Here is an 18,574-nt window from a genome sequence, read left to right as displayed (position 1 = left end):
CCATCCACAAGATCAGCTCACACAGCCATCCATGGTCTTGACAAAAGCAATCTTATGACAATGAGATTAAAGAGAAGGAAGTTAAGCGTTGGGGATGTGACAGGAGCTACCATTGGAAACACAAGATGGTAGTCAGAAGAACATGGGGCAGATCTGTTCATATTTACAACTGAGGGCCAAGAACCAAAAGAGAGGGAGAGATTACACAGAGGTCCCACCAGATGTGTTCAATGACAAACGCTCAAGAAGGCCAGGAATACTCTGGTGTCAGGCTAGAAAAGAAAGAAGTAAAAATGGGAAAATAAATGTGTATATGAGGAAAGAGAAGTTGAGGAAGACCATGCCTGAAGGTGTCAATATTCTGGCATAAAGAACCTGCTAAGAGAAAGCAGTGTGAAATAGAGCAGAGGCCCAGGAGAGAGTGATGAATGTTCACAGTAACTGGGAAGGAGAATAGAATCATACTGCCCACATGGAGGGGCTGCCTACAGTCAGACACCAGCATTTTTTAAATCAGTTTTACTGAAATACTTCACATGGAATAAAATCCATCAATTTTAGCATATAATTCAATGAGTTACAACACATGCCTCCAATACTGTAACTACTATCACAATCAAGAAAATATCACATTCCCATCACCCCAGAGTCCCATTGTGTCCATTTCCCACTGCAGTTCCAGACAACCACAAGTCTACTTTCTATCACTATTGTTTTGCCTTTTCTAGAGTTTTACATAAATGTGATCAGACAGATTTCCTTTGGGTTTGACTCTTTGCTTAAGGTAACACTTTGGGACGCAAACTTATTGCAAAGATTAATAGTATATTTTTAGATCATATATCTAATAATAGACTTGAATCTGGACTATATTAAAAATCCTTAGAATGCAGGCCAGGTGCGGTGGCTCATGCCCATAATCCCAGCACTTTGGGAGGCCTAGGTAGGTGGATCACTTGGGGTCAGGAGTTCAAGACCAGCCTGGCCAACATGGTGAAACTCCGTTTCTACTAAAAATACAAAAATTAGCTGGGCATGGTGGCGCACACCTGTAGTCCCAGCTGCTCGGGAGGCTGAGGCAGAAGAATTGCTTGAACCTAGAAAGCGGAGGTTGCAGTGAGCTAAGATCACGCCACTGCACTCCAGCCTGGGCGACAGAGCGAGGCTCTGTCTCAAAAAACAAAAACAAAAACCCTTAGAACTCAATGATGAAAAGACAAATAACCCAATTTTAAAATGAGCAAAGGATTTGAAGAGACATTTATCCAAAGAAGGTCTGAAAATGATGAATAAGCACGGGAAAAGATATTCAACATCATCAGTCATCAAAGAAATGCAAATCAAAACAAAAATGAGAAACCTCATTAAGCTCACTAAGATGGAGAAAATAAAAAAATAGACAATAACAAGCATTGGTAAGGATGTGGAGAAATCAGAACCTTTACACGTTGCTGGGGGGAATGTAAACTGTGCAGCTGCTGTGGAAAACAGTTTGGTGGTTCCTCAAAAAGCTAAGCATAGGTCAATTACAGTGGCTCATGCCTGTAATCCCAGCACTTTGGGAAGCCAAGGCAGGCAGATCACTTGAGGTCAGGAGTTTGAGGCCAGCCTGGCCAACATGGTGAAACCCCATCTCTACTAAAAATACAAAAATTAGCCAGGCGTGGTGGCACACACCTGTAATTCCAGCTACTCAGGAGGTTAACACAAGCGAATCACTTGAGCCTGGGAGGCAGAGGTTGCAGAGAGCCAAGATCATGCCACAGCCTGGGCAAAGGAGTGAGACTCTAAAAAAGTGAGTCTCAAAAAAAAAAAAAAGAAAAAAGAAAAGAAAAAGAAAGAAAAAAATATCTAAGCATAGACCTACTACATGACTCAGCAATTCTACTCCCAGCCATATACACATGGAAAATGAAAACATCCACATAAAAACTTATACACAAATGTTCATAGCAACATTATTTATAATTGCCAAAAGGTACAAATAACCCAAGTGTCTACCAACTGATGAAGAGAGCAATAAAATGTCATATATTCACACAATGGTATATCATTCAGTCATTAAAAAAAAAAATGCAGTAGGCTGGGTGTGGGGCTCATGCCTGTAATCCCAGGACTATGGGAGGCCGAGGTGGGAGGATGCTTGAGGCCAGGAGTTCGAGACCAGCCTGGGCAACATGGTGAAACCCTGTCTCTAAAAAAAAAAATAAAACATTAGCCCAGTGTGGTGGTACACGCCTATAGTCCTAGCTACTAAGGAGGCTGAGGCAGGAGGATTGCCTGGGCCCAGAAGTTCAAAGTTACAGTCAGCTATGATCGTGCCACTGACTGCACTCCAGAGTAGGACACAGTTTCTTTTCTTTTCTTTTTTTTAAAAAAGGAATAAAGTACTGATACATGTTACAACATGGAAAAACCTTGAAAGTACTATACTCAGTGAAAGAAGACAGACATAAAGACCACATGTTGTGTGATTCTATTTATAAATGTCCAGAATAGGCAAATCCATAGAGACAGAAGTCATATTAGTGGTTGGCCAAGGGGTTGTAGAGGGAAAGAAGTGGAGAGTGACTGCCGAAGCGGACATGGCTTCTTTTTGGGGTGACAGGGGCTAGAGTCTCAAAGACACAGCAAGAGGGCCAGGAAGAGAAGTTGACCCTGGACAAGGCCTGTGAGCAAGAGATATAAGAAACCAAGATGCTGGACATAGCTGGGACTGCTGCTGGCAAGCCCTCTGCTTCTTTTTATTTTTTGTGGAGATAGGGTCTTACTCTGTCGCACAAGCTGGAGCACAGTGGCACAGATCAAGGCTCACTGCAGCCTTGATATCCCAGGCTCAAGCAATCCTTCCACTTCAGTCTGTCAAGTAGTTGGGACTACAGGGGTATGCCACCACACCCAGCTAGTTTTTTTATTTTTTTATAGAGATAGGGTCTCACTATGTTACCCAGGCTGGTCTCGAACTCCTGAACTCAAGTGATCTTCCCACCTTGGCATCCCAAAGTGTTAGGATTACAAGCATGAGCCACCATACCCAGCACAAGCCCTCTGTTTCTGACCAAGAATGTCTTGGAAGGAACTTGCCTGGCACCAAATCTGGTGCCAGATTTGGCTGGGCAGGGGGTGGTGGCAGTTCCCAGGCAAAATGTCTTAAGGGTGATATTCTCTAGGTTGAGGAGCCCTCAGTGTACAGTTAGCGTGCAACAACAGTGTCTGATCTGCCATGAGTGGAGGGGGAAGACATAGGACTAGGACTAGGACATGGCACTAATTCACACGTGTCACCATGGCATTCAGAGGAAGGTGAATATGCTAAGCAGAAAGTGATGGAGAAAGCCTGGTTAGAAACAGGGCTGACGTTTTGAACTCACAGAGTAGGAAGTAAGCTAGAAAATGTTTACACACTCGTTTTGAAGACTGACATTATGCTGCTTATTTAAAATAAAACTAGAGCATTCTAGGTCTAAGCACAGTCAGCAGGCCGGGCGCAGTGGCTCATGCCTGTAATCCCAGCACTTTGGGGAGGCCGAGGCGGGTGGATCACCTGAGATCAGGAGCTCGAGACCAGCCTGGCCAACATGGCGAAACCCCATCTCCACTAAAAATACAAAGATCAGCCAGGCGTGGTGGCACACGCCTGTAGTCCCAGCTACTTGGGAGGCTGAGGCAGGAGAATCACTTGAACCCAAGAAGCAGAGGTTGCAGTAAGCCAAGATCATGCCACTGCACTCCAGCCTGGGTGACAGAGCAAGACTCTGTCTTAAAATAATAATAATAATAAAGCACAGTTAGCAAAGACACTATTGCTGAGCTTCTCTTTGCTTGCTCTACTCTAGTTCTCTCCCAGAGATACCGTAAGTGCCAGCACTACCAACACGGTATCTTTCAGATCCCACTCAGACTGTGTCTTGTCTTTCCCTTGCTGGCCTCTGTTCCTGCTCCTGCTGGCAGGGTCGTCCATTCCAGGTCAATCAGGAAGAATCCTGCTTGGCAGTCCCACTCACTCCATGGGAGGAGCCAAACTAAAAGCAATCCTGTAACAAGGAAGGAGCATAAACCTCCCACAACTTGTATCCCTTTCTTCCCAGCAATATGACTGGAGACCTACTCCTAATCTGTGAATAAAAGACAGAAGCTGGGTGTGGTGGCGCACACCTGTAGTCCCAGCTACTTGGGAGGCTGAGGCAGGAGAAGGAGAATCACTTGAGCCCAGGAGTTTGCGTCTGTACTGCACATGATCACACCTGTGAACAGCCACTGCACTCCATCCAGCCTGAGCAACAGAGCAAGACCCTGTCTCTTAAAAAAAAAAAAAGAGAGACACAGAAAAACTATTCTTGAGCCCCAAGAGATTCCAGCAGATTCCTCAGAATTCTAAGCTTTCCAGTTTTATTTTAAAACAAACAGGCAATAGAGGACACAGACTGGAAGATATGAACAAGCAGAAATCCTTTTGAGTTCAGTTTGTATTTTAAATTATTTCATTTAACAACTCCACATATAAATTAAAAGGAGCAAATAACAAATTTCTTATTAAATGCAGGTTTTCAAGACTTAAAAGCTTAAAATCCAGTACAATGAATCTGTATACATTAACCATTAAGAACATTTAGCTAATGTCACATGCATGATGATGGTGACAATGATGAGCACCACTAGCAAGACAGACATTTTTATTACACTTCGAAGGATCAAATATCAATCTGTCTAAAGTGGTTATCTCCGAGAAGTGGGATTATAAGTACCTTTCATTTTCACATGACATATTTCTGTACTGATTAAATTGTTTCTTATTATTTTTATAATAAAAATGAATTTTTAAAAAGATAACATAGGCTTCTATCTAAAACAGTAAAAATGCAACAGAAATATGAAGACTACAAAGATTAACAAAATCAGAGGGTTCAGTCAAACTACGTCATCTTGCCTGTCTCTCTTTTTTTCCCCAATAGACTATGTTTAAAAAAAAAACAAACAAACAGAAGAATGTTTTAAATTTACTTACCTTTCAGGCCCCTAATATTATATTTTCTAAAGCTAAATAAGTACTTAGATTTTAGGAAGTTTTTCTTAGCTCTTACTAAACTATTATAATATAACGACTTATTAAGAAAAAAATATATGAAGTGAACTTCAATTAACACTAACATGTAAGGAGAAATTCCTTCTTTGGAGGGTTCACAGAATTCAGAACTACCCCCTCCTGCTATGACAATATAGGTGAAAGTCAGAAATAAACGAAGTTCATCTTTCTATTTATTTACAGTTTATACCCAACTTAATTTTTTAAAAAAAGATTTCAGAAAGATCAAGTCATCTGATCACTGACCTAGCTCCAGCAAGGTTACGTGGTAAATGCCACACACAATGAAGCCTCAAAGTGCCTGAAATGCTACAGCTCTTCTCGGACAAAAGCTGGCTCCAGGCACTGCATGAGACCTACTGGGACCTCTAGCCCTAGTCCAGAGACAGGCACCATGCACAGCGGTCACTAGGACCACAGGCTGGGCAGCAGCTGCAACAGCCACCCAGGTGTCCATCTGGGAAGCCCAAGAGAGAGGACTGTTCAGTTCCTCTTTGTCTCAAAGGGCCAGTCTACTAGACTGGCCCACTGTGGGGTCTGCTGTGTGTTCCAACCCTGGAGGTGACACAGTCCCTGCGATAAGAAGGCCAGACTGACGGCCCTACCATCGTTGCTCCTGGAGATCCTGATGCTACCCTCCTCACTACTCTCTCAGAGCCAGACCCAACTGCTGGCCCTAAAGGACATGTTTTAAAAGTACCACTCAATGACTTCTGGTTGAAGACAATAAGATATAAAAAATATAGTTAAAGATACCCCTGGGAAAAATTCGAGGTGAATGGCCAGGCACAGTGGCTCACGCCTATAATCTTAGCACTTTGGCAGGCTGAGGCAGGCGGATTGCGTGAGCTCAGGGGTTTGACACCAGCCTGGGCAACAAGGTGAAATCCCGTCTCTACTAAAATACAAAAAATTAGCTGGATGTGGCAACAGCGTGTACCTGTAGTCCCAGCTACTAGGTAGGCTGAGGCAGGAGAATTGCTTGAACTCGGGAGGCAGAGGCTGCAGTGAGCTGAGATCGCACCACTGCACTCCAACCTGGGCAAGGGAGCAAAACTCCGTCTCCCAAAAAAAAAAAAAAAAAAATGGAGGTGAATCTAAAAGTTTTCTTGATACAGCCTGATAGATTGCCCCCGGTATACGGGTGCCTCAGGGAAAGATAATGCTGGTAAAAGATTACCAAAATAAGTGAATCAGAGTGGTAAGGTGATAAATACACAAAGACATTTAAATCAAAAGGAAGAAATGCCAGGGCTAGGAATTAGAGGGAGCTCCTAAGATGATGTAGAAGAAAGCAAGAAGAGTACTTTAGGGGAAGCTCCAAGAGAGGATCATACAGAGAAGATGGCGTTCCATGAATGAGGGTGCAGCCTGGCCCAGGACCCAGCCTGGCCCTAGGATAACCAGCTGATGGGGTCAGAAAGGGCTGGGGGAGGACAAGTACTTCTAGGGGAGGCTCACCATGCAGAAAAGGGGTCTTTCAAAAAGACTGGGAACTGCAGTGTAAACAGAGTAAAACCGACTAAACCTAACTAGAAAGTAGAACTGCTGGTAGTGAAGTCTCAGGAAAGGATCAGTCCATATAAAATCTGCAAGCTGGGGTGTCCCAGACAAGGAGGCAAAAGGAGCTCGAAGGGCTCAGTGGTTGGGAATACTTGGCCATCACAAACAACTGGCATGGATGGAAACTCAAAATATATGAAATTGAATATGAAGTTAAGGAACACAAAAACCACTAAAATGAATACAATGACCTGAAACTAAACAGGTCCAACTTAAATGTTATTATACCCAAATACGAGGTCAATAGGATGTAGAACACCCAAGTGACAAAAAGCCTTCTGTAAAGTGTTTAAAAACCCAAGATTCAAGAAAACCAGAGGCAACAAGAAACATGTTTTTTTAAAAAAATAAAGCCAGCAAACATCTATAAAACATTTTTAAAAATTAAAACAACAAAATGCCCACCCAAAATAAAAAATTCCCGTAACCAGTTAGGACACAAAATCATACAATTTTTAAAACCCCAAAAGTCACATTTTGAAAAACTGCTCACTTAGCACATGTCTACAGCCAGGGGGCCCTGCCCAGGGTGGACTGCCACAGCCGCAGGCCGCCTCTGATGAGTACAGGCCACACCAGCTATGCAGGGCACCCACAGGCTCACTAAACCTTATGTCCAGGCAGACCGAATGGCCAGCCACTCCCAGGGCACAGGAGGAGGCAGGCATGGGGGCACCACCTGAAGGGAAACAGAGGCTGGGCTTGGGACTGGAGCCCATGCTCTGCAGGCTCAGCTCTCTGGGTACCAGGCTGCCTGACGCCTTCCATTTCTCTCATGCAACACTGCCAGCCACACTAAAACCATGAAAGGAGCACAGCGGCCCAGAGCAACACAAACAGTGGGAGCCTCTTCGAAAGACCAATATGCATCCAGCCCACTTTTCATTACTGTAAATACAATCACAAATCTTCCTAATTATAACACTGAGTCCAAAAACACATTGAAAGGATATTCAATGTATTTTCCTTATTAAAGATATGACCCTTTTAAGAAATATTGCCATTGGAAAAAGTTTAAATGAGCGAGGAAATGAGATGCACTCCTGGAATGCCTTCCCCATTGTTTGGGAGGCATTCCAGGAGTGTATCTCAACTCTTCCAGGTACATAAAAGATTCTCTTATGTTTCCAATCAAACAGAGTAACTTACTTAGAGCAAAGTAAGATAAACGCAGCCTCAGGCTTGGGTGTCTGTGCAGCCCTGGGGTTTTACCCATCCTGGCCCAGCCTGCTCTGTATCATCTGCTGCCAGGCTCCCTGTTCTGCAGGACCTGGGCCTGGGTAGAGACAGAGGTCGCACTCCAGCCCAGCCTCCAGGCATCTCCGGGACTGCAGCAAGGAATCCCAACAGCAGGTCTCCCGAGGAATAGGGAGTAACACATAACTCTTGTTTTCTTTCTCTCATTATAGAATTGACCACATCTTAGAAGCTATCTGACCCCTAACCCCATCCTACAATTTTACATGTTACATGAAATGGCCCAAGTGTTCTGAACATAAATGAAGTAGTCTTTGCATCTAAACCTAAGAAATTCAATGCCCACCTTACTAGCAGCTCTTAAGGTTACCATTGAGGTATGAAGAAGTCACCTTACATCCTATTTCCTACTGTCTTCTACCAATTTTAGGTTCTGAGTATGTCTAACATTGCATTCATAATCTAGTAATAAGCACGATCTACTACTAACTAATAAGGCAGGACAAAACAGAATTTGGCTCCCATCCTAGCTTTCCTCTCTGCAGATATTACCCAATGATTTAACAGTTGTTCTCCCTTGTGCTTCTGAGCCCGCAGAGCCCCAAAGCAGACGTGCTATTCTTTCAACACAACCAGGGCTGTGGACAGTCAGGGAGGACTTCACAATTTCTAACTGATGTAGCTGGTTCGATGACAGTCAGAGAGTTAAAAATTTACAGTGAATGAATGAATGCATGTAGTGAAATTGGTAAAGACACATGTTTAAAAGATGAGTCTAAGGATGCTACTTATAAAGAAAACAAAAATTCATAGTGCTGCCAACATACTGAAGATTTGGAATCACATAAATTATCGACTACTGATGACTTCCTATCCATGGTATTTTGTGATTTTCATCAGATGGTAAAAAGATGAAATTTTCTCATGATTTTTATTGGTTCCCTTTCTAACAGAGTATACTGGAAAAATAGCTGTTAAGGACACGTGACTTTGCATCCTCAAGCTTAAGCCTCCTTGGTCCATCCCTTTTATCATATTATATTTGTACTATTTTGCCAAAGCCAAATTTATTATTGTTCACAGAGGGCTGGTGTTCTATGAAGTTAATATCTAATCAATTCAAAGCACCTCTTAAAATGCAATACCCTACTTTGGGAGGCCGAGGCGGGCGGATCACGAGGTCAGGAGATCGAGACCATCCCAGCTAAAACGGTGAAACCCCGTCTCTACTAAAAATACAAAAAATTAGCCGGGCGTAGTGGCGGGCGCCTGTAGTCCCAGCTACTTGGGAGGCTGAGGCAGGAGAATGGCATGAAACCGGGAGGCGGAGCTTGCAGTGAGCCGAGATCCCGCCACTGCACTCCAGCCTGGGCGACAGAGCGAGACTCCGTCTCAAAAAAAAAAAAAAAAAAAAAAAAAATGCAATACCCTAATCTTAAACCTCTCATCATTTCAACATAATACAAAAACACAAAGAATATTTCAGAAAATAAAACTCAGAATATTATGGAAGATATGTAACAACTATCCAAATTTTCAAAAGATGCAATTGGTTTTACAACTGGGGAAAAACAAAGAGACTAAAATAGCAGGTGGGATACATACAATTCTGTAGCACATCCATCAGTCATGCTCATGGGGAGTAAAACCACATCCAATTTCCCCTATGTATATTAAAATCACTGAAATGGTGCTGCATACAAAAATGTGAATGAAGGGTCAAAACATTAAAGTGAGCCGGGTGCTGTGGCTCACACCTATAATCCCAGCACTTTGGGAGGCCAAGGTGGGTGGATCACCTGAGGTCAGGTGTTCGAGACGAATATGGACAACATGGTGAAACCCTGCCTCTACTAAAAACACAAAAATTAGCTGGCGTGGTGGCAGGCGCCTGTAATCCCAGCTACTTGGAAGGCTGAGGCAGGAGAATCACTTGAACCCTGGAGGCAGAGGTTGCAGTGAGCCGAGATCTCACCCCTGTACTCCATCCTGGGTGACAGAGCAAGACTCTGTCTCAAATAAAAACATTAAAGTGGCTAACAAATGCAATTTCTGAACTTATCTCAAAACCAGGTGCACTTGCATTTCATGTGTGACTTTAAAATCCTACAACGTATCAAGTCATCTGAAAAATAATTTAGGATTTCTTCTCCAATATGCCATAAAAGTACTCAGCTAATATCAAAATGCATGCATAAAGCTTGACTGGATCTCGATCAAAAAAAAAAAAACCTATAAATGACTCTGAAAAAATTTGAATATGGGCTTAATATTAAATGATATTAGACACTGCACTCCAGCACAGGTGACAGAGCAAGACCCTGTCTCAAAAAAAAAGATATTAAAGAATTATTAATTTAGTTGATGTCATAGGAGTAATATGATAAAGTATCAAAATGTCCTTATTTTTAGGAAGTGATGGAGCAAGCTGAAGTGGTGGAGCAAGCTGACATTTTCATGGGTAAAGTGTCATATCTGCAACTTACTTCCAAATAGTTTTTGTTAAACAAAACAAAACACAGACATATACTTTATGGCAAAATGTTTATAATTGTTGAACCAAGATGGGGGATATACGGATACACATTTCTCTATTCTTTCCACATTTCAATACTTAAAGATTTTCTCAACAAAATTTAGGAAAAACACACATATAATGATGTTATTCACTTGGCAATAGATTGAGCTGGTTTTCCAATAATTCTTCAAACAGCTCTTCACTTCTAACCCTGTGACATATGAAGCAGGGCTAGTTTAACTTAGACATACACATATAGCCAGAAACCTTGGGAGTATCTCACTCCTGCTCTTCAAAACAAAATAAATCTTGTAGGAAACAAGCTTTCATTTGTGTCTCACTTACAAAAGCATAATGCTTAACAGAGCTACTGAGCACAGGTGCAGTGCTCTTAAGTCCAGCTGATTACACGCTGCATTTCCCCAATCCACATTTCAATCATGGCATCACCAGAAGCTTAGAGTCCGAATGACAGATCACATCACTTCATTCATGAAAACATACAGGAGGGATTCTATGGCCAGAAATGTAATTTCTAACAAGAGAAGAAAAACTAATTTTTGAACAAGAAGTTGAAAACAGTCCATACCAAACCCCATTAGGGTGAAAAGGAGAACATTTTATAGCATGCCAGAGATGAAAAAGAAAAAGCATGCCAGAGATGAAACAGCAGGGAACAAAATGAAAGGAGGAAAGGAATTCTACTTCAGCTTTTGGGTATCACCAGAGTTAAAGGTAAATTAAAATGTAGGAAGAAAAACTCCCATTTGAAACTAGCCACCAATTAAAATTGTTTATGGAGGGAGGGTAATTACGACAACATTCAAAATTTTACAGCCCTTCGGAAAACACCCAATTTAACCGCCACTCTTTACTGTAAGGAAGCAGTCCCAGGGTGGGAAGCAGATACAAAGTCTAGGTCCCCATCTTCCTAATTCCCCAAGTCAAGAAAGGCACTTGAACTGACAAATGATCATTACAATCACAGGAGTCACTAACAAGTCCAAGCTGAAGTTTTCCAGTGCCTCGTGCATATCTCACTCATTACTCCTATGCTCACATCAAACACAGACACTTCCACTGCAGAAAATCAGAATTAAGTGCCTCATCTCTGATGTTTATTACTATCACAAACAGGAAGGGAATCAAAAGGGAGAAAAAGAATATTAAGTTTTAATAAAATAGTACAAATGGATCACTTCCATTTGAGTCTCCCTCATCATCCAAAAAGCTTTATAAACTATTTTATAATTGTAGAAAATTAGTTATGAAATTTATCAACTATGCAAAGATGTTGCTCTAAGTGACAAGTAACTATACTACCTAAAGACAAAATTAAAATTTTTAAGTAAGAAAATTAATATATAAAACATCAGCTCAAAGATTTCCTTCTATCTAGGTACACAGCACAAAGAATTCCTTAAGGGAAATTTTCAAGGACATTTATACATTTACCTAACATATAGGTGTTGAGAACAAGGGATGGTAGCATTGTTGCTTGCTTTTTAAGGCAGTGCAGATCCTGAAATTATGGGAAAACATGGTATTGCTAACTTTGTAGCATCACCAATAAAGGGCCTAACATGTTATTAAAGTAATAGCAAACTCACAGTTGATTATTACAAATGCTAGAAAAATAAAGTGAAATTTGTACCTTTAGTGAGGCTAGTGGATGTTCTGGACCAAGTAAACTCCAGTGAAAGGAAGCCAGATCTTCATCAGGCAGAATGTGATTTCCTGGAATATAAACATGGATAACATAAAAGCAATCATCTTAAGTAACATAGGGAAACTTTCAAAAGTGCTGCATATTGTCACCTATAGTAGAAAACTTTCAAACAGAAACTGAGAACAAATCTTCATCTCTTAACATAAAGCGACATACAGCAGGCAGAATCTTTGCAGCTGCTTCAAGAATGACGGGAATTTCTAGTGCAGTCCCAACAGCATTCAACCTAAGAACTGCATAAAACTGAAACAACTTCACAGCACAGTATTAAAAATAAACACCAGTTTGCAAAAGGTCAGTCTGACAATGTCAGGATATCAAATACCAATTAGATTCAAGTTTTCATTTGTTCATGAAATGACTATGGTTCAAGCTTTCATCTGTTCATGAAATAGCTACGGTTCAAAATTACATAAAAACACCAAATGTGAAATCTGCACAATTATAAAACCTTTCTTAGCAAGATTAAATGACAATGACTGCTGATTGTAACATGAATCAACACCCTTCTCCCATAATTTCCATCACCACCCACAAACATATGTGAAAAGGCCCATCCTACAGTAATACTCATGAGGCCATTAAGCTGCTCATCCTATCACCAGTGCTGTCACAGTCTACAAACAAAACTGTATTCAATTGAGAAACTATATTTGGGGGTAATACTCTACTTTCATAATAATGTTCGTATGCCTGGTATACCTGATCTTTAGTAGGTTAGCTATCTCATTGAAATCTCAAAGCAGTAATTTCCTAAATAACCATGATTTTTATAACATTACTTAATCACCTCCACATTATGATAGCAAATTCATTAATTTGCTACTAACAGAATGCAACACAAACTAAGACCATTTGGAATATTGCTACGTTATAATATAGGTTGAGCATCCGTAGTCCAAAATGATGTAAAGTCTGTAAAATCTGATGTAAAATCTGAAACTTTTTCAACATCAACATGATGCAAGTGGAAAATTCCACACCTGTGCTCATAAGATGGGTCACAGTCAAAAGGCGGTCAAAATGTTGTTTCCTGCACAAAATTATTTAAAATGTTTTACAAAATTACCTTTAAACTATGTGTATAAGGTATATATGAAACATAAATGACTTTCATGCTGACTTGGGTCCCATCTTTAAGATACTTCATTAGGCATATGCAAATACTCTAAAATACTTCTGGTCCTAAGCATTTCAGATAAGGGACACTCCACCTGTATTCCAAACACACAAACACACAAGCCAGAGGTACTGAACTCCCGTGATGTCCAAATGAGCAAATCTGAACCGTAACTGCTCAGGTTTGCTGGCTTGATATTGTTTTCCCGTTAATGGATTGCATAGAATTTCACGGTGAAGAATGAAGTGTCTGGCCGGGCACGGTGGCTCACACCTATAATCCCAGCACTTTGGGAAGCCAAGGTGGGCGGATCATGAGGTCAGGAGATCGAGACCATCCTGGCTAACACGGTGAAACCCCATCTCTACTAAAAATACAAAAAATTAGCAGGGAGTGGTGGCGGTTGCCTGTAGTCCCAGCTACTCGGGAGGCTGAGGTGGGAGAATGGTGTGAACCTGGGAGGCGGAGCTTGCAGTGAGGCGAGATCATGCCACTGCACTCCAGCCTGGGCGACAGAGCAAGACTCTGTCTCAAAAAACAAACAAACAAAAAAAGAACGAAGTGTCCGAAATTTTGGAAGCTTCAATTCGAAATAATATTAAGGCAACTCCAACATTAGTAACAGTCCCTGTGAAAAATTGGGGGGTGAAATACTTAAATGAATATTCCAACATTCCTAAAACAAAATACTTTATATAGCTATACTTTCCATTACAGAAGGGAAAAGAAAAATAAGCTTTCTCATTTGAGCACAGTGAAACTTTTCCAGCCTGGCCAACGTGGTGAAAATTAGCCAGGTGCGGTGGCACACACCTGTAATCCCAGCTACTCGGGAGGCTGAGGCATGAGAATCGCTTGAACCTGGGAGACAGAGGTTGCAGTGAGCCAAGATCGCACCACTGCACTCCAGCCTAGGCAACAGAGAGAGACTCCATCTCAAAAAACAACAACAACAACAACAACAACAAAAACTTAGGAGCTTACCTATAACTTCACTAAACTTTTTGAAGAGATTGCAAGCCCTAAATTAAATTGACAACATATTGCAATTGATTTTTTCATTTATTTCAAAACTTCACAAACTAACAAGCTAGAAAAGTATCAGTTGGCATCATCTTCCAAATACCATATTCAATGTTTCTTAAACAAGATAAACAAGTATTCTTCCATTTTTCAAATGAGCTAAGGCATCCATATTCTAAGAGCATATGATTTTCACATTCAAAGTCAATTAATATGCCAAGTTATTTTACATAGCATTTAAGCAAACATGGAACTTTCCATATAATGTGCCACCCCCATACTCACTTTTAACATCAGAGGAAATATCCTTTTATATTTTAATATTTGAAAATATATTTAAAAGATTCGTTTTAATCCCCAAATCCCCAAAGGCACAAGAGTTCCCTTACTAAGCACTGTATTTGAGATTAGATCCAAACAAACACAAGTTGTGAAATCACAATTTTGTTGACTGACTCATATAGTAAAACATGAAATGCTTTCACAAAATAACATATAAAAAATTATGTGGCCAGGCGCAATGGCTCATGCCTGTAATCCCAGCACTTTGGGAGGCTCAGGCAGGTGGATCGCCCTGAGCTCAGGAGTTGGAGACCGGCCTGGCCAACATGATGAAACCCTGTCTCAACCAAAAACACACAAAAAACTTTAGCCGGATGTGGTGGCATGCACCTGTAGTCCCAACTACTTGGGAAGTTGAGATGGGAGGATCACTTGAGCCTGGGAGGTGGAGGTTGCAGTGAGCCGAGATTGCACCACTGCACTCCACTCTAGGCAACAGAGTAAAAACCTGTTTCAACAACAAAAAAAGGCTGGGCGCGGTAGCTCACACCTGTAATCCCAGCAAAGACAGAGGTGGGTGGATTGCTTGAGCTCAGGAGTTCAAGACCAGCCTGGCCAACATGGTGAAACCCTGTCTCTACTAAAAATATAAAAATTAACCGGGCGTGGTGGTGGGCGCCTGTAATCCCAGCTTTCAGGAGGCTGAGGCATGAGAACTGCTTGAACCATGCAGGTGGAGGTTGCAGTGACCCAAGATCACACTACTGTACTCCAGCCTGGGCAACAAAGCAAGACTCCATTTAAAAAAAAAAAAAATTGTCCAAAGATATCTTAACGATGAAAACTTGAAAAGCATAGCCTCTGCAGCCCATGGGCTGGCAGTTTGCTGATCTTTTAAAGTTAATCTTTCCCTGCCCAGTCCCCATTTTCTGGTAAGGTTTCTAGGAGGTCTGTTGGTATACATCCTACAACTTATTGACTTAAAATGTACTCTCCTTTGAGACCGATTGGGAGAAATAGAAATCAATAGCGCAATCGTTTTGATACTGAATATTGAAAAGTGTCTCTTTGAAATAAAGAACCAGTCCCTCCAAAAAAATAAAAATAAATTGTGACTCCTTACAATTTCTAGTTGTGTAAAACTGTTTTGGAATGTTTATAAAAATCTTTCTGATAACTAGGCATTTCTAAAAATAATCCACAATATAATCCCCTCTTGAACAGGACTGGATTGGACTGCTAGCCTCTATAGAATATATACTGCAAGGGAGCACAGTAACTGAGCACTAGAGACCACACAGCTTCCCAAACTGGCCTTGTGTGTCCAAAACAGCCCCAAATCCCATCAGATTCATGGATTCTAATCACAGGAGTGCCTCCCTCCAAAACATGTTTACTTATATTTGGACACAATTCTTATAAACTAAGTAAACTAGAGCTGGATATTAAAGTAGGGTGAGACAAGCACAATGAAAGCATAAGAAAGGGTAGCTGACAAAAGAGCAAAGAAAGAAAACACACAATGCAAATATAAAGTGACAGACAAATATATTACTTCTTGGGAATTTTTTTTTTTTTGGAGACAAAGTCTCACTCTGTCTCCCAGGCTGGAGTGCAGTGGCACGATCTTGGATCACTGCAACCTCCACCTCCCTGGTTCAAGCCATTCTTGTGCCTCAGCCTCCCAAGTAGCTAGGATTATAGGCGCCCACCACCATGCCCGGCTAATTTTTGTATTTTTAGTAAATACAGGGTTTCACCATGTTGGCCAGGCTGGTCTCAAACTCCTGACCTCAGGTGAGCTGCCCACCTTGGCCTCCCAAAGTGCTGGGATTACAGGCGTGGGGGAATTATTTTTAATTAAAGAAAATTAAAATCTAATGTCATAGTTAAAACAAGATTTCATCCTTTCTGGGTATTCAGCATAAGGAATTCCTCCAAGGAAATTTTTTAAAGACATGTATACATTTACTTAAAATGTAGGTGTTGGAAACAAGCTACGATAGCTTATTTTTGTTTCTCTTTTAAAGTAGTGAGTATCCCGAAAATGAGGTGAAAACATAACCATTCTAACCCCATAGCATATTTTCTTCTACTATAAACATAATTTATGTCAAAGGTTTAAATGTCTAATTTACATAGTGACCATGTGTTGACATCTGTGATTTAGAATGTTAGTTTTCCAAAACCTTAAATGAGTTTTTTCACAAAATTAATCTGAACAATTCCTGGATAGAACAATACCTCAACAAACACTTAAGAACAAAAGTAGCACATTAGCTATGCCAAAAAATAATACGAAGCAAGGAATGCTAAGGAAGAGCCCACGCCTTGGTTCTTTTCAATGTGTGATACATATCCAAAACATTCAAGCACAGAAACACTTAAAAGATCAATGTGCTTATCATATGGTCACTCCCTTATAAAATATTTTCACACTGCTCCACCTACCTAAGAGAGCAGCAAAAATAGGAAAACGATTTGGATTCAGGTCCAGTTGCTTGGCAACTTCATGCATCAGATATTGGCTTGTGGTGAGACTTTTCCCGTTCCGGCTCAGTTTTAGGGCATGGGCACTGAAATAGTAGGGGATGTTGCACAGTGCATAATCAGAGTCATACGCAACCAAGCCATGGAAACCATTCTCTCTGCAGAAACCAATCACTTCCTGATGGTGATCCTCAATGCTCTGTGCAACCTGGCAAACGAGAAAAAAACTTCATCAGATGTAGGGTAACACTGTAGCAACAAGCTCAATAAGCAGAAATGTTTGCACAGAAGCTGAAAAATCACATTTATGAAAACTATCCGTGAAAGCCAAACAGTCAAAAAAATGCCATAATAAAGTTTGCAACACATTGCTCCACTAAGAAATTTCTGTGGGAAATCGCATTTAAATCATCTCCTGTCAGTAACTTATGATCCCATCTAGACTGTAAATCAATTTTCAATTCTTGTCAAGCTCAAAGATCACCTTGCTTGAAAATACACAAAGCCAGCTGACCCCATGACAGTATTTTCAAGAAAGAGAGGGGGAGAAAGACACAAGAAAATAAAGAGTTCTGTGAGAAAGGAGACAGAAAGAAGCCACCCACTGTCAATGAAATCAAAACAATTTCTTCAAAGTAGATCAAATGTGTCAGGTGAAATCATCAGAATTTAAAAAATAAAATAAAAGTATGATCCCTCGGCCTACCTGTCAACCAGTTCTTATCCTCCTAAGGCCTCCCACACGTGGAGACCATACAAGGATGCACACGTTCACCCTCAATGTAACTGCCACAGGCTTATTCTATGTCCCACACACTATGTCAAGACTAGGTCTATATCAATTGCCTTTTCAATGATGAAAAAATCTAAGACACCCTCTTTACTTCTACTGAATCCCCAATGTAACATCCACAATACCTCGGATTTCCACAACACACGAAGGAGCAAGCAGAGAAGCAACACCTTTGAGAAGTCAAAGTCCTCTGGGCTCTCTCTAGTCCAAAAAATATACCAAAACACCTGGAAAAAATGTTCTAAATGATTTACAGTCCAAGACCACCAAATTCTCTCCTGCTGTTTCACATACTCATTAATCCAACTAAAATTCTGGCAGGTTTTTCGTTTCTACAATGGATAAGGTAATTTTGAGAACAGAATTTTAAACTAAATTAGGTGATTCCAATAACAATGGAGTATTAACTCTCCACAGGGCCTTGGAGGAGAAAAATGTGTGCCACCCTTAACCCCAAGTTTTTAAAACTACTGTCCAATGTGTGGCTACATTGAGAGAAAGTTTATATTAAATTAAATTCAAAATTAAGTTCAAGTATTCAGTGGTCACAGGAGACCAGAAGCTAACATACTAATTGGACAGCACAGAACATTCTCACTACGTCAGAAAATTCTACTGGACATCACTGTAGAATGGACCTCACTTCTCACCAACTTTCATAATAAAAGCAGTCGCCACATTTTGTTGGAAGGTTAGCTATAATGAAATCTCACTGAGAGGCAAAGCAAACCTTTTCAAGATGCATACGTAAAAGAAGAAATTACTTTCTGAATTCT

The 18,574-nt window shown here is 40.8% G+C and overlaps 1 protein-coding gene across 15 annotated transcripts in view, besides 1 other annotated feature; it reads right to left on the bottom strand.

The window, feature by feature from the left end:
• The window catches only part of FAM120A (family with sequence similarity 120 member A), a 114,428-nt gene that overhangs the window by 77,759 nt on the left and 18,095 nt on the right, over window positions 1-18,574 (bottom strand). For all 15 annotated transcript variants that reach the window (NM_001439102.1, XM_011518413.3, NM_001439104.1 and 12 more), the window contains exons 2-3: window positions 16,967-17,213; window positions 12,016-12,098 (exon numbers count right to left, since the gene is read on the bottom strand). In NM_001439102.1, the coding sequence (NP_001426031.1) occupies window positions 12,016-12,098; window positions 16,967-17,213 (330 nt within the window). The remainder of the gene's footprint in view (window positions 1-12,015; window positions 12,099-16,966; window positions 17,214-18,574) is intronic.
• Window positions 5,329-5,829: an enhancer, noted in NCBI's record as "H3K27ac hESC enhancer chr9:96244807-96245307 (GRCh37/hg19 assembly coordinates)". NCBI's record gives its function as "activates a minimal SCP1, AML or CMV promoter by ChIP-STARR-seq in primed H9 embryonic stem cells {active_cell/tissue: H9 hESC(primed)}" and the evidence as "EXISTENCE:reporter gene assay evidence [ECO:0000049][PMID:30033119]".

Source organism: Homo sapiens, chromosome 9, assembly GCF_000001405.40.
Source record: "Homo sapiens chromosome 9, GRCh38.p14 Primary Assembly".
Taxonomy (NCBI): Eukaryota; Metazoa; Chordata; class Mammalia; order Primates; family Hominidae; genus Homo; species Homo sapiens.
This window is presented reverse-complemented; position numbering and strand designations above follow the sequence as displayed.